General features: G+C 46.0%; 1 protein-coding gene across 2 annotated transcripts in view; it reads left to right on the plus strand.

Annotated features, from left to right (window-relative positions):
* The window catches only part of GALNT17 (polypeptide N-acetylgalactosaminyltransferase 17), a 581,456-nt gene that overhangs the window by 527,424 nt on the left and 31,219 nt on the right, over nucleotides 1-22,813 (plus strand). For both annotated transcript variants that reach the window (NM_022479.3, XM_011516467.4), the window contains exons 7-9: nucleotides 5,844-6,029; nucleotides 10,405-10,542; nucleotides 17,644-17,739. In NM_022479.3, coding sequence (NP_071924.1) covers nucleotides 5,844-6,029; nucleotides 10,405-10,542; nucleotides 17,644-17,739 — 420 coding nt within the window. The remainder of the gene's footprint in view (nucleotides 1-5,843; nucleotides 6,030-10,404; nucleotides 10,543-17,643; nucleotides 17,740-22,813) is intronic.

Here is a 22,813-nt window from a genome sequence, read left to right on the forward strand (position 1 = left end):
GAAGAAAGTGCAAGCCGCAAAGTCTCTAAGGCCTAGTCCTGGGTTGTGTGAGACATCACTTCTGCATTCTGTTAATCAGTGCAAGTCATAAAATCAGCCCAGATTCAAGGAGAGGGGAAATAGGTTCAGCCTTTTTATAGGAAGAGCAAATAAGTCACATTGCCAAGGAGCATGGGTGGAATTGTTGCTGCCATCTTTGAATACAGTCCAGCACACCCTGCTCTCTCCTTCACAAGGTCATTGCAACTGTGCTGGCTGCCCCTGGGCTTGGGACTGTTGCCCACTTCCTCTACTCAGCTCAGCCTAGCCCTTCAGACTTCACCTTAGTATCCTTTCCTGGGGGATGCTTTCTCTGAGCCCACTGGCCACATCCTCGTGTTACACGCTAGATTTTTAGCCCTGTGTTGTTTTCCCTCATGGAAAAGCTCCCTTTGTGATGGTGCATTTCTGCCTGTGATTCTTTGATTAATGCATTTCCCTTGCTAGATTATCCACTTCATGACAGCAAGGACCTTGTCTACTAGCACCTCTCATTTCATCCCCCTGCCCAGCCCAGTAGGCCCTGAATGGATCATTTTTTGATGAATAAATAAATGGATGAGCGTCTGTTTCTGGAGTCACCACACCTCCTGGAGGCCCATATCCATTTAAGCAGGGCCACTTCCCCACTTCCCTAGCAAAGGGTCACCAAGAACCCTGCGGTGGGTTCTTTGCCTCCAGGACTGGTCCCAGAGCTTGGAGCGTGCCCTCCTCCTGGCCCATTCCAACCCATCTGGAAGTCCTCCTCCCTCCACTGTGTGAGGAGCCACAGCCTGGGGCGCTTTCCATTTGGGCACTTCCCTCTGCTCTTGGCATCAGCGACATGCCAGTCAGAGTCTTGTTCCTACCTTTCTGTGCATTTCTCTTCATTTCTTCAGCCTGCCTAGGAACTCACCATGTGGGCTGGTAAACACTGATGTAGAGAATAGATCCGCAGGACCCTTTCTTGGGACCAGCTGTACTTGGGATACTCATAGCTGGGTCTTATGTGTGGTAGAAACATAAACTGGATCGTTCCCTTTAGAGGGTACCCCTTTTGCTTCCAGACCTCTTGGGTGGACTCAGAGGCCAAGGTGGAATATCACTCCTTCCGGGAATACCCCTCCATAGGGGACTTAGCTGGACTGTTGGTTTATTGCTAAGGCTCAAAAGCCTTCAGTCCACTTTCTTGCATTTCTTTCCATCTGCTATGTAGGCCTGGTTGCTTAACCACTGGCAGACTTCACATCAGCTCATCATCACTTAGAGCCAGCCCATGAGCTGTGCTGGTGATCACCCCCAGCCAACACAGAGCAGAGCCTGAGGCCTGAAGAATCACTTGTCTCCCAGGCATCTTCCAGCCTCCCTTGCACAGCCATGCCGCCACTTGGATCCGTGCAGCAGCAGGCTTTGACCTCTGACCCTAGGATGTCATTGGTGCCACTGCAGATCCATGGAGCTTCCTCTGCATATATCTATATGCCCAGCTCTGTCCTCACTGTTTCCCCTGCTCACTGTGGTTACAATGCAGGTCAGAGGCACCAACCAGGCACCCAGAGTGAGGGACAGGGCTGTGACTGAAGAGAAGTCAAGGGGTCTACAGCTGTAGGTCAGCTCTCCCAGGGCAGGAAGGGCCAGTGTCTGCTGCTGTCGCATGTGGTCGGGGGTGTGGTTCTGACTCCTCCCCTTACTGACTGTGGGGTTATGAACCACTTTCTCCACCTCTTTGACCCTCAGTTTCCTCATCTGTGATAAGCTGATGAGGGAGTTGGTTTTGGTGCTTTCTGTCATTACTGGACTGGTCCTGGAGTTTGGAGCAGGCAGAGCAGGTATACTTGCCTCTCTAAGGGGAGGGGCCTGTGAAAGTGGAGAGTAGAGGAGAGATGAGCAAGAGGAGCCCTCGTCTTCTGTCTCACACAAGAGGTGCCGCTAATGACAGTTCATGTTTAGGATTTAAAATCCAGTCTGAGTCACTGGAGGTGATGAGCTAAAGTGCAGACTTAGGCTGAGGCAGGCAGGATAATGACCACAGTGCATGCCCAGTGATGGCAATGTTGTGGGCATCCAGGCCAGCAGCAGGATTCCAGGGCAGGCACTGACCCTGGCAGTTCACCCTGGGCTTGCTGGACCCCACAGCAGGGCATACCTTCAAGACATCTGCTATTCCAGGAGCCTCTGAGTCCTCCCCAGACTCTACAGGGAGAGCTGAGGGACTTTGGGTCAATGCACACTTAGTGTGCTGGCTGATATCCACACCACAGAGCCCAGGACAGGAAGCCCATGTCTCTGCCACACAGGACAGATGTGCTGAGCTTCCTGCCACCTGTCTGTTACACCATCTCCCTCCCCTTGTTTAAAAGGCTTGGTGTCCAGCACAGGGCTAACACAGCCAACATATGGCTCCTCCATCCTCTCACCTCCACTCCTAACAGCTACATCCACTTGAACCCTCTTGGGAGTTTGGCTGCACCCCAGGCATGAAAGCCATCCTGACCTTGGTCTGGATGGCTTGTGGAGGACATAGTGCCAAGTCAGACTGGCTTGTGGGTTCTGTTCCCACTTGGCACCTGTGTTCTTATGACTGGGTTTCAGGCTTTTGCTAAGGTCTCTTATGCGCCTGTGTCTGTCATCCCTGCTAAGTCCTTGAAGAGTTCTGCTTTGCTTCCATCCATCCTCCTGAGCCTCCCCAAACTGAGATTCACGCCCGAATCTACTTTCCCCCATCTCTCTGTTTATCTATCTATCTATCTGTCTGTCTGTCTGTCTGTCTATCTATCATCTATCTATTTTTATAATGGCTTTGTAGATATATTCACATACCATTATAATTCGTCCATTTAAAATGTGCCACTCAATGGTTTTTTCAGTATGTTTGAGCTGTGCAAAGTTCACCACAATCAATATTAGAATGTTTTCATCACCCTAAAAAGAACCACCAAACCCATTAGCAGTCACTCTACCTTCCTCCAGCCCCCTGCCCACCACCTCCCAAGCAACCATCAATTTATTTACCAGACATTTCATATAAATGGAATCATAGAATATGTAGTCCTTTGTGATTTGCTTATTTTGCTTAGCATGCTTTCCAGGTTCATCCATGTTGTAGCATGTATCAACATTTCATTTTTTTCCCAAATAATATCCCATCATATGGATATGTTACATTTTATTTATGCATTAATCAATTGTTGGGACATTTGCTTAATCCAAGGTCATGAATTTTTACTCTTATGTTTTCTTCTAAGAGTTTTATAGTTTTAGCTCTTATGTTTAGGTCGTTGATCCATTTTGAGTTAATTTTTTATATGGTGTGAGGTAGGAGCCATGTCCATTCTTTTACATGTTGTTCCAGCACAATTTGTTGAAGATATTATTCCTTAGCCCACTGAATTGTCTTGACACCCTTGTTGAAAGTTAGTTGACCATAAGTGTGAGAGTTTATTTCTGGACTTTCAGTTCTATTCCATTGATCCGTATGTCTGTCCTTATGCCAGTACCACACCATCTTGACTATAGTAGCTTTGTATTAAATTTTGAAATTGGGGAGTGAAGTCCTCCCAGTTTGCTCAAGGTTGTTTTAGCTACTTGAGGTCCCTTGTTTTTCCTTACGAACTTTAGGATCTGCTTGTTAATTTCTGCAAGGAATTCAGCTGGGATTTTTATAGGGATTGTGTTGAATTTTTAGATCAATTTTGGGTGTATTACCATCTTGACAATGTTAATTCTTCCAATCCTTGAACATGGTATATCTTTTCATTCATTCACTGAGTCTTGCAACATCATTGTGAGACCCTGATTCTTTATATATTGTCCGTACCTTGAAATTCAGCCGCCTTGTTTTACTCTCTAAGACACCAGTTTCCTGTCTCTATTCCCAGGCCCTTTGCCAACATTTGGCCTCCTTGACTTCCTTCCATGGCCAGCAGCTGGGTCTAACCTAACATGCGAGGGCATCTAGCTGTCCTGTCCCAGATCAAAGAAGTCTGGAACATCTATTCTCTACTAACCACTTAGCCCACAATTCCTCCTGGAAGAAGCAAGCAAAGTGAGGATTCTTGCTTATGGGAGAATTTTCTATCTGTATCGTTTCCCTGTGGTATAACCGAAGTTGGGAAATAGAAACAGAACATCATACACGCAAAACAAATTTTGCCACCAAATTCAGCCAACAAAAGTCAAGAAGGGGGTATGTAGACACTCAAGAGTGTCCCAGTATTCTTGCTTTGGTGGTTACTGGGAGACTAAAGGTGGAATGGCTTGAAGTAACCCATCTTGGAATGAGCCTACCTGAGTCAGCTCACCTGCAAAAACTGTCACTTATGCAGAGCATACAGTGTCTTCACAGCAGAACAGCCTCACAGGCTCCTGAAACTTTTCTGTCATTTTCCTTTTTTTCCACTGGTACTAGGAACCTCATTTCCATAAATTAATTTTTTTTTTTACAATAAGGTTTTTTTTTTTTTTCCCACCTGGACCAAGAGAAGTTGGATAGTCCAGCTTTCCTTTTGGAGCAGGTCCTTACGGCCTAGGTGCCTGCCATCCCCATGCAGAGGGATGAGAAGTCCCACATCCTTGGGCTTTTGCATCCCTCAAAGGCAGCCATCATTGCAACTTTCTTTCTGAATAGTTCAGTAATAGCAAGCGACAGCTGCTCATAATGGCATTGGAGTGGATGCTTCCAGAAGGCTTGGCATCTGTACCTGTAGGACTCCAAAGTAGAGCATATTAACAGTGTAGAACTAGGCTGGGAGTAGTGGCACATGCTTGTAATACCAACACTTTGGGAGGCCAAGGTGGAAGAATCGCTTGAGACCAGGAGTGTGAGACCGGCCTGGGCAACATAGCGAGACCTCATCTCTACAAAAAAATTTAAAAATTAACTGGGCATGGAGGCACGTACCTGTAGTCCCAGCTACTTGGAAGGCTGAGGCAGGAGGATCACTTGAAGCCAGGAGTTCAAAGTTATAGTGAGCTGTGATCGCACCACTGCACTCCAGTCTGGGTGATAGAGAGAGACCCTGTCTCAAAACAAAATAAAACAAAACTTAACCCAGAACTAGATCATTATATACATCTTGTGCTGATATGAATAAAGATCTGTTTCTTAGTATGAATTTTCCATTCTACATTGGCAGGGCGCAGCTTCAGCCAGATGGGAAAGGCAGCCTTCAGGGATGTCAGTTGTGCATTATTGAGAACATAAGAAAACTCATGTGTTGCCATGGGCAGCTTAGGTTTATGGGCCTTTCTTACCTAGAGGTGGATTTTATATCCTGAGCTGTTGTTTCTATAAGAATTCTCCCAAGCCTCTTTTTTATATGTTTTAGTCAGGTTAGGTTAGACCATGCTGCAGTAACAAACCAACCTTGAACTCTCATTGGCATTATTTATTTATTTATTTATTTGTTTAGAAACAAAGTTTTGCCCTGTCACCCAGGCTGGCGTGAAGTGGCACTATCTCAGCTCACTGCAACCTCCACCTCCCGGGTTCAACTGATTCTTGTGCCTCAGCCTCCTGAGTAGCTGGATTATAGGCGTGCGCCATCATGCCTGGCTAACTTTTCTATCTTTAGTAGAGACGAGGTTTCACCATGTTAGCCAGGCTGGTCTCCAACTCCTGACCTCAAGTGATCTGCCCACCTCAGCCTCCCAAAGTGCTGGGATTATAGGCATGAACCACCGTGCACAACCTCTCATTGGCTTTATATATTAAAATGTATTTTACGTTTATGCAAAGTCAGCTGAACCATTGCTTTTGGGCTTGGGGAGGGGGCATAGCCTCTGGGAATTTCTTTTTCAGGCTGATGAAATCTTTGTACCCCTAGGTATGGCTCTGTGGGGGCAGCATGGAGGTCCTTCCTTGCTCACGGGTGGCCCACATTGAGCGGAAGAAGAAGCCATATAATAGCAACATTGGCTTCTACACCAAGAGGAATGCTCTTCGCGTTGCTGAGGTCTGGATGGACGATTACAAGTCTCATGTGTACATAGCGTGGAACCTGCCGCTGGAGGTAGGGATCACCAGCCTTTCCCCACCACCCCAGTACAGTGATCCTTACTGTTTGATCACTATTTATTTAATAAACCAATCGTTCCTCCCCAGAAAATGCTCATGCTTAGAAAAATTATGAATGCATTTCAAAGGGATTCACAGATGTCTCAGCTTTAGAACTCCTGCCTAACTCCAGGGCTAGCACAATGGAAGTCTCTTTAAATCCACTTACAGAGATTAGAAGGGTCTTAGTGTGTTAATCCCAGTCTTATTATGTTAATCTGGCTGCCCTGCTCCTGATGATATGCTGTGTCCAGGAAGTTCTTGCCCAGATACTTCACAGCAGACTCTTCATCCTGCCAGTGTGTGACTTCCCATGGAGCTCCAGCTGCCCCGTATCATATGCCTTTACTCTATGCCAAATCCCCTAGCTCTTCAGCTCTCCTCCACATTCTGCTCAGAAGATGGCCCAAGGAAATTTCCATGTTACTGCAGCCCCACAGGAGTGTCATGCGGTAGTTGTATATTAGCGTGGTTTGAATCCCAACTCTATCATTTATGAGTCAGGAGATCTTGACCAAATCCACTCATCTTCTCTGTACCATTCATCCCTTGGTATCCACAGGGGATTTGTTCCAGGATTCCCTGTGGATAGCAAAACTCACAGATGCTCAAGCCCCTGATGCAAAATGGCATAGTGTTTGCACATAACCTAAGTATAACCTCCTGTGTGTGTATATATATGTATAAAATATATATTTATATAATATATAAAATATATAATATAAAGATTTATATAAATTTTTTTATGGCAGCACAAAATTTTTTTAATTTTATTTTTCTATTAGTTATTGGGGTACAGGTGGTATTTGGTTACATGAGTAAGTTCTTTAGTGGTGATTTGTAAGATCCTGGTGCAACCGTCACCCGATCAGTATACACTGCACCATATTTGTTGTCTGTTATCCCTCGCCCCCCTCCCACTCTTCCCCTGAAGTCCCCAAAGTCCATTGTATCGTTCTTATACCTTTGCATCCTCATAGCTTAGCTCCCACATATCAATGAAAACATATGATGTTTGGTTTTCCATTAGAATAATACTCTCGAATCTCATCCAGGTCGTTGCAAATACTGTTAATTTATTTCTTTTTATGGCTGAATCATCTCTAGATTACTTATAGATAATACAATGTAAATGCTGTGTAAATAATTCTTATGCTTTATTTGTATTTTTTATTGTTGTATTGTTCTTACTGGGCTTTTAAAAAATATTTTCAGTCTGCAGTTGGTTGAACCGATGGATGCAGAAACCATGGATATAAAGGGTTGGCTGTACCTTATTTTCCTCAGCTGTAAAATGAGGATAATAGCAGATTCTCCTTCTTGGGGTGATTGTAAGAACTAAATGAATTTATACATGTGGCATGCTGAGAGTAGCACCTGGCACAGAGTGCATTGTTCGTCCTATGCTGCACAGCAGGGTAACCTGCACCCTCAGCCACAGCTCAGTTTATCTCCTCAGCCAGAGCACCCATAGGTGTCTGAGCCATGCTGGAAAGTCACCTGGAGTGGTGCCCATTGAGAGATGGCAGCCCCTATGTATCAGGAGGCTAGAGCCCAGAACAGAAGAAATACAGTTGAATATGTGCCAGATATGTGGGTCAAGAAGATAAAAGTGAATTTATTCAATGTTGTTATAAGTTTTGAAATACATTCTCAAGAATTAAAAAACCCCTTCTGGACACTTAGCACTTTTTAGCTGTTAAGTAATAAGTGCTTTTAGCCATTATTACTATTATGTAAAGATAGGTAACATTCGTTGAGCACTTACTATGTCCCAGGTACCTAGTAAGTCGTTATTTGTAATATCTTATTTAATTCTCATAACAACCTCATGACATAAGAACTGTCTGCCTCAGTTTCCTCATCTATAAACATGGATTATTAAAATTTATCTGATAGGACTCCCGTGAAGATAAAATAAGGCTGAGAACAGAGCTTAGCAAATATTAAGAGTTCCATAAATGCTAGCTTGATATGAATGTATTATGATGTTCATTTTACAGATGAAGAAATTGAAGCTATGAGAAGCTAAAAGGGGCTCGTTCAAGGTCCCACACAAAGCACATGGGCAGGGAAGTCAGTTCAGGTCCTCATACAAAACCTCACCCCAGCCCTGTGAAATAGTGAAATAGGTATTATTATTATTCCTGTTTTATAAAGGGGAATTTTTTTTTTTTGAGATAGGATCTCACTCTGTCACCCAGACTGGAGTGTAGTGGTACGATCTTGGTTCCCTGTAACCTCCGTCTCCCAGGTTCAAGCCATCCTCCCACCTCAGCCTCCTGAGTAGCTGGGACCACAGGCTTGCGCCCTCTACCTGTCTAACTTCCGTATTTTTTGTAGAGACAAGGTTTTGCCACGTTGCCCAGGCTGGTCTTGAACTCTTTGGCTCAAGCAATCCTCCCACCTCAGCTTCCCAAAGTGCTGGGATTACAGGTGTGAGCCACTGCGCCTGGCCTCAAGTTTTGACCTGGAATGGTGGTGTGACTTAGAGTTACAAATAACTCAAGTCTTTTGACTGTAGCCAAGTGCTTTGTCCATGACTGCAGACAATCTCTGGTCCCAAATGCCAGTGGTAACCTACCAGGCTTTTAAAAAATGACCATTAGCTCACGCCTGTAATCCCAGCACTTTGGGAGGCCGAGGCGGGCAGATCACCTGAGGTTGGGAGTTCGAGACCAGCCTGACCAACATGGAGAAACCCTGTCTCCACTAAAAATGCAAAATTAGCTGGGTGAGGTGGCGCATGCCTTTAATTCCAGCTACTCGGGAGGCTGAAGCAGGAGAATCGCTTGAACCTGGGAGGCAGAGGTTGCGGTGAGCCAAGATCGCACCATTGCACTCCAGCCTGGGCAACAAGGGCCAGACACCATCTCAAAAAAAAAAAAAAAAAAAGACCATTTCATGGATCATACTAAATATATTAAAACAAAGAGTTAAAAGTTACTGCTCAGGGTTGTCTTTGAGGTTGAATAAGTTTGACATTTAAAGGGATTTCCCTTTAAAGTCATTGTTTGACTGCCCAAGTGATCTTAATGACATAATTTGAAGTCTTCTCCCAGGCCCCCCAGTGCATCCTGTCTCTGCTAATTCCTGGCCATCTTGCAGCTGAGTCTGCAGAGTCATATTTCAGATACTTTATTTTCCCTGTCAGCACACAGCAGCCATTATGGGTTCATTTCTGTAAAAGCAGAGTGAATTATTCATTAGAACATCATTACAAGCTTTGCAATGGAAAATTATTTTCACTTCTGCATGTAATGAACTTCGCAAAGAGCCAACAAAAGGAGAAATTTTGCAGGTATAGGAAAGAAAAGACAGGAGGTGGTTGTAGGCATTTATTTTCTTGTCGTAATCAAATAATTCCTCTAATAATTGTCTCTGATAGTTACTAAGGAAATGCGTAAGAGCAGAAACTGAGAATGTAGGTCGTCAACATCAGCGTGTCCCAGAAATCCATTTGCACAGCAATGATAAGGATGGTTGACCTGTCTGGGACCTTTATTGCTGTAGGTTCCTGATTTTGCTTAGGAAGGAGGATTCCCTGGCCTGGGTCTGGATGAATCAAATAGGTCTCCTTAAACCACCCTTCTGGCCGGGTGCAGTGGCTCACACCTGTAATCCCAGCTCTCTGGGAGGCCGAGGCTGGCTGATCACTTGAGGTCAGGAGTTTGAGACCAACCTGACCAACATGATGAAACCCCATCTCTAAATATAAAAATTATCCAGGCATGGTGATGCAAGCCTGGAATCCCAGCTACTGGGGAGGCTGAGGCAGGAGAATCGCTTGAACCCGGGAGGCCAAGGTTGCAGTGAGATGAGATCGTGCCACTGCATTCCAGCCTGGGTGATAGACCAAGACTGTGACTCAAAAAACAAAAACAAACACCCTTCTGAATAAGCATACGAGGCTTAAGATCTTTTTTTTTTTTTTTTTTTGAGACAAAGTCTCGCACTGTCACCTGGGCTAGAGTGTAGTGGCATGATCTCGGCTCACTGCAACCTCCACCTCCTGGGTTTAAGTGATTCTCGTGCCTCAGCCTCCTGAGTAGCTGAGATTACAGGTGCCCACCACCATGCCCAGCTAATTTTTTGTATTTTTAGTAGAGACGGGGTTTCGCCGTGTTGGCCAGGCTGGTCTCAAACTCCTGACCTCGTGATTCACTCACCTCTGCCTCCTAAAGTGCTGGGATTACAGGCATGAGCCACCGTGCCCAGCCCAGGCTTAAGATCTTCTATGTGAAGGTTTCCCTGAAAGTGACTCCACCTGTGCCCCACTCTGGCCAGAGCTCCACAGTCACTAACACCCCTTGGCTTCTCTCTCCTTTCAGAATCCGGGAATTGACATCGGTGATGTCTCCGAAAGAAGAGCATTAAGGAAAAGTTTAAAGTGTAAGAATTTCCAGTGGTACCTGGACCATGTTTACCCAGAAATGAGAAGATACAATAATACCGTTGCTTACGGGGAGGTAATTCAGACCGTGCATGCTTTTGGCTTGGAATGCTGTTCAATATGCTGTGGGTTGCTTCGCTGGGGAGAAATAGAGTTGCTCATTCATTCATTCAATGAGTGGTTTTTGGAGGTGCTGGCCCTGATAGCAAGATTCTCTCTAGCTGGGGGGTTGGGGTAGGGAACAAATGTGATGAATGTTACAATGGACTATGGATAAAAGACTATGATAGTCTACTTTGCCTGAGATATGTAGCAGATAATGAATCCTGTTTGGGAAATTTTGACTTTGAGGTCCTCTGGGACCTGTAAATGGAGATATTGAGCAGGAAGTTTGGATGTAACGAGAGGCAGGAGGGTTGGAGTCCTCCATTGCTCTGTGCTGTGGGCTGGAATCACTTATCAAAGAAAGGAGGAAACGTTCTCAGATTGTCTATGGTGTGATCATATCACCTTTCTAAACCTGAAAGCAAAGCGATTTTTCTCTTATTACAAATACCATCAATATGCATTTGAGAACATTTTGGAAATAATAATACTAGGGATGAATATTTGAGTGCTTTTGAAGTACTGGGCACTATTCTAAGTGCTTTTTGCATACAAATTAATTTCACCTTCACCTTATGAGAGATTAGCGTTATTTCTGTTTTCTTGATAAGAAAACTGCAACTTAGAGAAATTATCTAACTTACCTAAGGTCACAGAGCGTGTAAGTCACAAAGCCAAGGTTGGACTTGGGGATCTGGATACCAGAGATAACGTGTACACTTTGATGTGTGGGCCTCCGGACTGTGTGTGTGTGTGTGTGTGTGCGTGTGTGTGTGTGCATGTGTGTGTATATGTGTGCATGTGTATATACCCATGTATTTTTTTTACTAAAACCATTCCATTCACAATGCCTAATAATTTGAAATTTTACTCAATAATATGGAGGATATATAAGTGTATCATGAAATATTTTTTGTCAGTAATTAATGGCCGCACATGGTTCCACTTTTTGTGTAAGCTGGGCTTTGCTTGAGAACATAGACACTGGTGTCTTTTCCAATTTTAAAATATCACAAGTACCATTGCTGAGAACATCTTCATATAGAAACACTCATGCATCCACCTCATTCTCCCTTGTGATGCCTGTTTGAGATGGAATCGGTGACACACAGTCAGGCCAAGGAGCAGAGAGCCAGGTGCTCTCAATTTGGCTGAGACACCCCATTAGCTCTGCAATCGGGTTTTCTTTCCTGGGACTCCCTGTGACTACCAGGTTAAAGCTAAGAAGAATCCCTTTGACTTAGGAGTATTTACATTTTTCTACAACTGTGGATTTTCCTATTCTTTGCCTGCTGCCTTTTATAGAAAATAAATCAACCACAGGTTAAGTCATCAGGGTGTAGAGTGGTGACCCTCCTGAGCTGGAATTTGGAATGGGATGCTCACATCTTGCAAGGGCAGTCTCTAGGGCGGTTAGGGATACATGAAGACTAGAGCCAGCCTGCTGGGTTCAAATCCTAGTAGGCTGTTACCAGCTGTGTGGGTCTGCTTGGCAGCCATTCCCTCATCTATAAAATGGGAGGAAGGAGAGTATCTCCTCTACAGGATTCCTGGGAGGATAAAATGAGCTGTGATGTGTGAAGTTCTTAGAACGGTACCTGGCATGGCCAAGCACCGTGGCTCACGCCTGTAATCCCAGCACTTTGGGAGGCCAAGGCGGGTGATCACTTGAAGTCAGGAGTTCAAGACCAGCCTGGCCAACATGGGGAAGTCCTGTCTATATAGATATATATATTAAAAAACTAGCTGAGCGTGGTGGCTGGTGCAGGTAATCCCAGCTACTCGGGGCTGAGGCAGGAGAATTGCTTGAACCCGATAGGCAGAAGTTGCAGTGAGCTGAGATCGCGCCACTGCACTCCAGCCTGGGTGATAGAGTGAGACTCTGTCTCAAAAAAAAAAAAAAAAAAAAAATGGTACCTGGCACACAACAGTAATTATTAATAGATCTGAACTGCCTTGCCTTTTCTTCTCCAAAATAAAAGCATGAATTTTTTAAAATTATCAAAGTAAGATTAAATATAAAGGAAGAATCAAACAATGGGCAGTGAATGGATTATTCCTAAGACAATAAGACAATTGGCTCAATTGCCTAGCTTTTTGGAAAATAAATCAATTTAGATTCTTACAGCTCACCATTTACCAAAGTAGATTTCAGATGAACTGTAGCATTACATGAAAGAAATAATAAAAGAACCATGAGGAAATAGTGATGAATCTGATCTCTGAATGAGGAAGGGCTTTCTAAGAATGAAATCCACGCAAGAAATGCAAAGGAAATGTGTCATGGATCCAAGCTCATAAATATTAAAATAATCTGTACATCAACTGAGTAGAGAAATAATACACCAAACTGAAAATACATATACCACAAATGCTATAGATGAACAAATACCATTAATATATAATAAGCTTTGCAAGTTAAGTTAATTTTTTTCTTTTTTTTGAAACAGTCACCCAGGCTAGGGTGCAGAGGCACAATCTTGGCTTACTGCAACCTCCATCTCCTGGGTTTTAGCAATTCTCCTGTCTCAGCCTCCCGAGTAGCTGGGATTACAGGCACACGCCACCACGCCCAGCTAATTTTTGTGTTTTTGTAGCAACGAGGTTTTGCCATGTTGGCCAGGCTGCTCTTGAACTCCTGACCTCAAGTGATCCACTCGCCTCAGCCTCCCAAAGTACTGGGGTTACAGGCGTGATTTTAAAAATTTGATTTAAACAACAAAATAAAACATCCTCAAAGAAAAATAAACAAAGTACAAGGTCAGTTACACAAGAAAAAATACACATGGATGAAAAACACATGACAATTTTAAATTTATTTCATAGTCAAAGAAAATAAAAAATTAAATACACAGAGGTGTTTTTTTTTCCCCCTATCCGCAAATGAACAAAGATTCATTTTTTGTGTTGATACTTTACAGGCAAGGCCTTAGTAATATGAAAAAAATCATATCTTCTGTGAGTGCAAATTGAAACAAGCCTTTTAAAAAGCAATTTGAGCCACATGTATTAAAAAGCTTGATAATGACAGTCATAGTTTCTTCTCCACTCATATCCCAAGCAAATAATCTGAAATAAGGACAAAGATTTGAGAGTAAAATTGTTCAGCTCAGACATGTTATTTTTGAGGAAATTTTTTTTTAATTTAACTTGGAGATTAGTTGAATGTAATGCATTCATGGTTGGGGATATTTTATAGCTGTTATAAATGGTGCGTACAAAAGTTTAATGACATGAGAAAAATATTGATACCATAATGCTTAAGAGGAAAAAACTCAGGATGATAAAACTGAAATCGCTGCTATTTTAGATTGGAAGCAAGTGTGATAATAGCATTGGGAAATGGAGAAGATACTTATAATTACCTTGGGTAGTAAGTAGGACTTTGGGCAGTTTTGCAAGTGGGTACTTTGTCATGCTTTTCCAGCTTTCACTAATGTCAGGTGATACTTTCATCATTAGAAGAAAAATAGTTACTAAAAAGGAAATAATAAACATGATGACCAGCCTGTGCCCCCCAGGCTGGAGTGCAGTGGCACAATCTTGGCTCACTGTAGCCTTGAACTCCTGGACTCAAGCTATTCTCCCACCTCAGCCTTCCAAGTAGCTGGGACTACAGGTACATATCATCACATCTGGCTAATTTTGTGTTTTTGTTTTTGTTTTTATAGAGGTCTCACTGTTTTGCCAGGCTGGCCTTGAAGTCCTGGGCTCAAGCAATTCTCCCACTTCCGCCTCCCGAGTATCTGGGGCTATAGGCATAAACCACTTAGGCTAGAAGGCTGCCAGAGCTGCTGTGTACAGCTCCAAGTCTGTGCACTGCACAACTCCAGGAGCTGCCTTTGACATCAACCACAGTATAAATGATGTCCCTTGAGCCGTACAGTGGGGGTGGCATTGGGGGTGACATTGTGATCATAGTCTGATTATTTGGAAGAGAGAAGCCTTTTGTTTTTACAAACTTTCTTTTTAAAATAATAAAATCAATACATACATTCTATCGGAAATATAAAGATGAAAACTAAACTTACTCCAAATCCCAATTCCCAGATATAATCAATGTTAACATTTTAAGGCATCTGGTTCTATTACTCCTTTTCTACCTGCTGAGTATCACCATTTACAGATATATATATTTCAGATGGACTATAGTGTTAAATGAAAGAAACCAAATTAGTCAAAAACCAATTTTTAAATAGCTCTTCCTTTTTAAAAAAAAAAAAAAGAGATAGGGTCTTGCTCTGTTGCCCAGGCTACAGTACAGTAGCATGATCATGACATACTATAGCCAAGAACTCCTCTGCTCAAGCAATCCTCCCACCTCAGCCTCCCTAGTAGCTGCTACCACAGGTGTGAGCCACTGCTGTTGGCTCTAGACAACTTTTTCTTTTTTTTGAGACACAGCCTTGCTCTGTCACCCAAGATGGAATCCAGTGGCGCAATCTCAGCTCACTGTAGCCTTAAACTCCTAGACTGAAGCCACCCTCCCACCTCAGACTCCTGAGTAGCTGGGACTACAAACACATGCCACCATGCCTAGCTAATTTTGTTTATTTTTTGTGAAGGTGGGGTCTCACTATGTTGCCCAGGCTTGTCTCACACTCCTGACCTTAAGCAATCTTCCAGCCTCAGCCTCCCAAAGCACTGGGATTACAGGCGTGAGCCACCGCACCCAGCCCACATATGCTTTTAACGCTTAGGGAAGGAGTCATCTCCTCTTAGCAGTTATCTCTGAATCCTCGGAAGGGGTAAAGAAGTTCTCCTTGGCCAGTTGCAGTGGTTCACGCCTGTATTTCCAGCACTTTGGGAGGCCGAGGCAGGTGGATCACGAGGTCAGGAGATGGAGACCATCCTGGCCAATATGGTGAAACCCTGTCTCTACTAAAAATACAAAAATTAGCTGGGTGTGGTGGCGCGTGCCTGTAATCCCAGCTACTCAGAAGGCTGAGGCACGAGAATCACTTGAACCCAGGAGGTGGAGGTTGCAGTGAGCCGAGATTGCGCCACTGCATTCCAGCCTGGTGACAGAGCAAGACTCCGTCTCAAAAATAAAAAATAAAAAAGAAGCTCTCCTTGTTGGCCCTAGCATATTTCAAACATTGCAGTAGACCGTGGACTACTTTAGGGCAGGGACTATGTTATTTATCTTTTGCTCATTAAATTTAGCACAGTGCCAGGCACTTACCAGGCCTTCAATAAATATTTATTAAATTACTGAATGATAGATTTGATTGCAGAAACATTAGAACAAAGTTTAAAAGCCTGGCAGCCTCAAATCATGACGTAAAGCAAATATTCTGTTAAAACATTCATGTCCTTAATATGTAAAGAGCTCTTGGCCAGGCACAGTGGTTCACACCTATAATCCCAGCAGTTTGGGAGGCTGAGGTGGGAGGATTGCTTGAGGCCAGGAGATGGAGGCTGCAGTGAGCTATGATTGCACCCCTGCACTCCAGCCTGGAGTACAGAGCAAGACCCTGTCACTCAAAGAAAAAGAAAGAATTTAAAAATCTGCTCGAGTTGTCTGAGCCTAAACACAATTTGGGTACATAAAGAACAAAATGCCAGCCAGGCGCAGTGGTTCACACCTATAATCCCAGCACTTTGGGAGGCCAAGGCAGGTGGATCACCTGAAGTCAGGAGTTCGAGATCAGCCTGGCCAACGTGGTGAAACGCCATCTCTGCTAAAAATACAAAAAATTAACTGGGCGTGGTAGCGGGCGACTGTAATCCCAGCTACTCGGGAGGCTGAAGCAGGAGTATCGCTTGAACCCAGGAGGTGGAGGTTGCAGTGAGTCGAGATCGCGCCATTGCATTTCAGCCTGGGCAACAAGAGCGAAACTCTGTCCCAAAAAAAGAAAAGAAAAGAAAAAGAACAAAATGCCTTTTCCTCTCTTTGTTTCCATGGAGAATATAACCTGGAGGGGAATGAATATAGATGGAAAGGACCAGCAACATGACCTTTTTCCCACTCATTGAGACCCTAGGGTGGTGGTGGGATGGATACCCATATAGATCACAGTGCACCCAGAGATCCAAATTAGATCAGTTCTCACATGCTCCCAAAGACCCATGCCTAGTTTCACGGGTGTTGCTTTGGGGACTTTTGTCTATTTCCTCCGTGGGTGCATTCCAAACACCAAACACCTACAATGGTGCTTAGTACAGCATAGGTATCAGTAAATGTTTTTGAATATATAAATAGATACTGCTAGAGCATTTTATGATAGTAAGCTTTTAGGTTTTTTTTTTCTTTTTTTTTTAGAAATAGGTCTTGCTCTGTCGCCCAGGCTGGAGTGAAGTGGTGCAATCATAGCTCACTGCAGCCTGGAACTCCTGGGCTCAAGCGATCCTCCCGTCTCAGCCTCCTGAATAGCTGGGACTACAAGTGTTTGCTACCATGGCTGGTTAATTTGTTTTAATGTTTTTTTAGGATGGGGCCTCGCTATGTTGCCCATATTGGTCTTGAACTCCTGGGATCAAGCGATCCTCCTGCCTCCCAAAGTGCTGGGATTACAGGCGTGAGCCACCGCATCCAGCCTAATTTGCTTTTAGGCTCTTCATGCCTTTATGCAAATAATGACCTGAGAAGCTAACCTCTGATTACCCAGTTTATTAAAACCAATGTCGGTGCTGAGGCCCACTTACAAGCCTAACCATCTGGATAACTGGATTTTACAAGCCACTTAGAAGACTTAGAAGCCACTGAGAAGCTTAGAAGCCACTTAGAAGCTTCAAAGCTGTTTAGAAGTCTAAGATCGGGGTAACCAGTGCTCCTGTATGCAGAAGTTCCCTGAGATTGCCTTTCATGTTAGGAATGGAGGTGCTGTGAGGGTGGGGGGGCAAGCTGCCCAGGACACAGTCAGAGACCTAGCATCCATGCCATCCACCTTAAGACTTGATCTTTCTTGTTAAGGTGATCACCGCAAAGATTTGAGCCCTGGTCCTCACTTAGAGGCTCGTGTTGTCTTCCCATCATGAAGTTGGAACCAAGCCATGGTAGAACAGTGACTCGGCATCCACACCTCCACTAGCTGAGCTCTCATGGGTCGTGTTTTGTCTATTCTTGCAGCTTCGCAACAACAAGGCAAAAGACGTCTGCTTGGACCAGGGGCCGCTGGAGAACCACACAGCAATATTGTATCCGTGCCATGGCTGGGGACCACAGGTAGGAGCTCGTCTCTGACCAGGAAGGAAGTAATATCACCATCTCCGACCCACAGAGGCCTTGCAGGCCTTCTGGATAAACTTTGTTGCTGTCTACCTTGGTAGTTATTTATTCTGAGAAAAATTTTTAAGAAGAAGGTAGGAGTCTTTCTGGTTATTTCTGTAAAGAAGCTAGGGAAAAAATTCATAAGTGGTTGTTGCAGCATGCAGATTTTTTTTTTTTTTTTGAGATGGCGTCTCACTCTGTCCTCCAGGCTGGAGTGCAGTGGTATGATCTCGGCTCACTGCAACCTCCGCCTCCCAGGCTCATGTGATTCTCCTGCCTCAGCCTCCAGAGTAGCTGGGACTACATGCGCCCGCCACTGCGCCCAGCTAATTTTTTTGTATTTTTAGTAGAGACGGGGTTTCACCGTGTCAGCCAGGATGGTCTTCATCTCCTGACCTTGTGATCCGCCCGCCTCGGCCTCCCAAAGTGCTGGGATTACAGGCGTGAGCCACCGTGCCCGGCCAAGGCTCACAGGTTTTTCTCTGTGTGTAGTGGTTTTGCATTCCCCCGAGGTCAGCTGTGTACCCTCTGCCACATCACTGCCGGTAGTTCTCAATGTCCAGATGGATACTCACCCTTCCTCCTAAGGTGGGTGAGCAATGCCAGACAGGTTACTGTTCAAATCCTCAGCCCTTTGACCTTGCAGCAACTCTGGGAAGTAGGCAGGCAGCATGAGGAAACTGAGGCACAGAGGGGCAAGTGCCTGTGAGCAAAGCAACCTAGAACCCAGGCTTTCCAGCACAGCCAAGCATTTTATACTATTTATTTATTTATTTATCTGTTTATTTTTTTAGACTGAGTCTTTCTCTGTCACCCAAACTGGAATGCAGTGCCACAATCTCAGCTCAGTGCAACCTCCGCCTTCTGGGTTCAAGCGATTCTCCTGCCTCAGCCTCCTGAGTAGCTGAGATTACAGGCTTGCACCACCCTGCCCCAGCTAATTTTTGTATTTTCAGTAGAGACGGGGTTTCACCATGTTGGCCAGACTGGTCTCAAACTCCTGACATCAAGTGATCCACCACCTCGGCCTCCCAAAGTGCTGGGATTACAGGTGTGAGCTTCCGCCCTGGGCCAAGCACAGCCAAGCATTTTAAAGTCAAATTATCACCTGAGGTCAGGAGTTCGAGACCAGCCTGGACAACATGGCAAAACCCCGTCTCTGTTGGCCAGGTGCGGTGGCTCACGCCTGTAATCCCAGTGCTATGGGAGGCTGAGGTGGGCAGATCATGAGGTCAGGAGATCGAGACCATCCTGGCTAACACGGTGAAACCGTCTCTACTAAAAATACAAAAAATTAGCTGGGCGTGGTGGTGGGCGCCTGTAGTCCCAGCTACTCGGGAGGCTGAGGCAGGAGAATAGCATGAACCCAGGAGGTGGAGCTTGCAGTGAGCCAAGATCGCAACACTGCACTCCAGCCTGTGCGACAGAGTGAGACTCTGTCTCAAAAAAAAAAAAAATTAGCCAGGCATAGTGGCGGGTGCCTGTAATCCCAGCTACTGGAGAGGCTGAGGCAGGAGAATCACTTGAACCTGGGAGGTGGAGTTTCAGTGAGCTGAGATCGTGCCACCGCACTAGAGCCTGGGCGACAGAGCGAGACTCCATCTCAAAAAAAAAAAAAAAAAAGTCAAATGCGATCCATTTAAATCCAAGTTATTTATGGAGCACCATCACCATCTACGATTGGTGAAAAGTGCCTGTGGGGAGTAGGAGATTGGCTGGGAAGCCTAGACCTTCTCCTCTCCCTGAAGGTTCTCTGTAGGGAAATGGGGATGCACATGGAAAGCAATATGAGCTACAGAATCTAATGCAGGTGGCTGTGATGGCTGAGGCGGGAGGATTGCTTGAGGCCAGGAGATTGAGACCAGCCTGGGTAACATAACAAGACCCCCGCCTCTACAAAAAATACATAAAATGAGTTGGGCGTGGTGGCACACGACTCAGGAAGCTGAGGTGAGGGGATCACTTGAACCCAGGACTTCAAGGCTGCAGTGAGCCATGATCATGCCACTGCACTCCTGGGTGACAGAGTGAGACCTTGTCTCTTAAAAAAAGAAAAAAATAAGTGCACGTCTTCATTCATTCATTCACTCAACTAATATGTCTTGATTACCTATTCTAAAATGCTAGGCACCACTGTAACACAGGCAGCTGGTATGATGCAGTCTTTGCTCCCAAATCGTTTACCCTTGAAGGGGAGGGACTAGAAAAGAGGCAAGAAATCTACAGTAGAATAAGCGTAACCCACGGTGCTGGGGCCTGGGAGGTGGGAGGTAGCCCAGTTTGGCCGGAACTTTGAATGCAAGAGGGAAGGGAGTGCTGAGAGAGAAGGCAGCAGAGAGGTGGAGAGCAGATGGTGAGAGACCTAAGGAGGCCTGCACCAAGACTCCAGCCTGCACGCTGCAGTGGGCAGCAGAATCGTCCCCAAGGCTGCGACAACACCAGCTCCTGGGCCCCATCCCCAGAGTTTTTGGGTCAGATCTCCGGTGGGGTCTGAGAGTTTGCTTTTGTTTTCTCCTTCCTTCCTTTTTTTCTTTTTCCCTCCCTCCCTCCCTCCCTCCCTCCTTCTCTCCCTTCCTCCTCCCTCTCTCCCTTCCTCCCTCCCTCTCTTCCTCCCTCCCGCTCTCTCTTCCTCCCTCCCTCTCTCCCTTCCTCCCTCCCTCTCTCCCTTCCTCCCTCCCTCTCTCCCTTCCTCCCTCCCTCCCTCCCTTCCTCCCTCCCTCTCTCCCTTCCTCCTCCCTCTCTCCCTTCCTCCCTCCCTCTCTTCCTCCCTCCCTCTCTCCCTTCCTCCCTCCCTCTCTCCCTTCCTCCCTCCCTCTCTCCCTTCCTCCCTCCCGCTCTCTCTTCCTCCCTCCCGCTCTCCCTTCCTCCCTCCCTCTCTCCCTTCCTCCCTCCCTCTCTCCCTTCCTCCCTCCCTCCCTTCCTCCCTCCCTCTCTCCCTTCCTCCCTCCCTCTCTCCCTTCCTCCCTCTATCCCTTCCTCCCTCCCTCTCTCTCTTCCTCCCTCCCTCTCTCCCTTCCTCCCTCGCGCTCTCTCTTCCTCCCTCCCGCTCTCTCTTCCTCCCTCCCTCTCTCCCTTCCTCCCTCCCTCTCTCCCTTCCTCCCTCCCTCTCTCTCTTCCTCCCTCCCTCTCTCCCTTCCTCCCTCCCTCTCTCCCTTCCTCCCTCCCTCTCTCCCTTCCTCCCTCCCTCCCTTCCTCCCTCCCTCTCTCCCTTCCTCCCTCCCTCTCTCCCTTCCTCCCTCCCTCTCTCTCTTCCTCCCTCCCTCTCTCCCTCCTTCCTTTCCTTCCTTCCTCCCTCTCTCCCTCCTTCCTTCCTTTCTTCCTTTCCTTTTGTTTCCTTTCCTTTCCTTTCTTTTCCTTCCTTCCTTCCTCCCTCTCTCCCTCCCTCCTTCCTTTCTTCCTTTCCTTTTGTTTCCTTTCCCTTCCTTTCTTTCTTTTCCCTTCCTTCCTTCCTTCCTTTCTTCCTTCCTTCCTTCCCCCCTTCCTTTCTTCCTTTCCTTTCCTTTTTTCTTTCCTTCCTTCCTTCCTTCCTTTTCTTCCTTCCTTCATTTTCTTCTTTCTTTTTTTAAGAGATAGGGTCTTGCTGTGTTACCCAGGCTGGAGTGCAATGGTGTGATCACAGCTCACTGCAGCCTCAGCCTCCTGGGCTTAAGTGCTCCTCCTGCCTCAGCCTCCTTAGTAGCTGGGACTAAAGGCAGATGCCACCATGTTCCACTCAATTTTCCATTTTTTTGTAGACATAGAGTCTTGCTGTGTTGCCTGGGCTTGTCTTGGACTCCTGGCCTCAAGGGATCCTCCCACCTTGGCCTCCCAGAGTGCTGGGATTACAGGCGTGAGCCTCAGCACCCAGCCCCAGTTTTGCATTTCCAGCTGATTTCTAGGTGATGCTGATGCCGCTGGTTTGAGGAAATGGGACTTGATCCAGAGGATGTCAGGGAGCCACTGGAAGGCTCACCTGGGGGTGGGAGAGGTGATATGTTTAGACTGCCTACAGCAGTTCCAGCAGGGACTAAGAAGCTATGTCTTGGAATAGACCAAATGAAAAGCCCTAGCTAGTCTCGGGCTGAGATGGCCAAGAGTTGGATATAGCAACTTGTGGTACTGAGCCTAGAGGACTTGAAGAAAGGGGACATAGAGGGTGGGAGGCAGGGCCCAGCACACTCCCCACACCACCTTCCTAGGATACCCACAGCCTCTGGCCCAGGCAGCAAGATCCCAGAGGCTGAGCCTAGGGCAGTCCCACTCCTGGGCCCCATGGCTGTGCCGGATCATCCTTTTAGGCAATTACTCCAAGAGTAGCTGTGAAAAGAGCACTTAACTCCCAGACTTCTTTGTTCAATCTTCTGAATAAGTCACATTTGAATGGCGCACTTATTAACGGTGACATAGTAGAGGCTATCCCAGTTAGATACTGGCATAATCAAAAACTGCTCCAAGGACGTCCACTTGTCCTATGAATGTGGAACAAAGTAAAGATGGTCTGATCCCATAGCTTCCCCATGTGGCTCTAAGCAGTTACATTTTGCTTTGGGTGTTTCAGGGGAAGGTTTTGTTTTTGTTTTTGTTTTGTTTTTGTTTGTTTGTTTGTTTTGTTTTCAGACAGAGTCTCGCTCTGTCACCCAGGCTGGAGTGCAATGGCGCGATCTCGGGTCACTGCAACCTCCGCCTCCTGGGTTCAGGCGATTCTCCTGCCTCAGCCTTATGAGTAGTTGGGATTACAGGCGCCCACCACCATGCCCAGCTAATTTTTGTATTTTCAGTAGTGATGGTGTTTCGCCACGTTGGTCAGGCTGGTCTCAAACTCCCGACCTCAGGTGATCCACCCACCTTGGCCTCGCAAAGTGCTGGGATTACAGGCAAGAGCCACTGCGCCCGGCCTCAGGGGAAGGTTTTTAAAGCCACTCAGGAAGCACGTGGGTGAACCTGAGGGCTGGGATGTGAAGGCGGCAGTGTCTGCCTTCTGTGGCCCTGTGGCCCCCCACCCTCCCCAGCATCTTTAACACCTTTGTGATGCCTACACCTCCAGACATAG

The sequence above is a fragment of the Homo sapiens genome, chromosome 7 (genome assembly GCF_000001405.40).
Source record: "Homo sapiens chromosome 7, GRCh38.p14 Primary Assembly".
Lineage (NCBI taxonomy): Eukaryota > Metazoa > Chordata > Mammalia > Primates > Hominidae > Homo > Homo sapiens.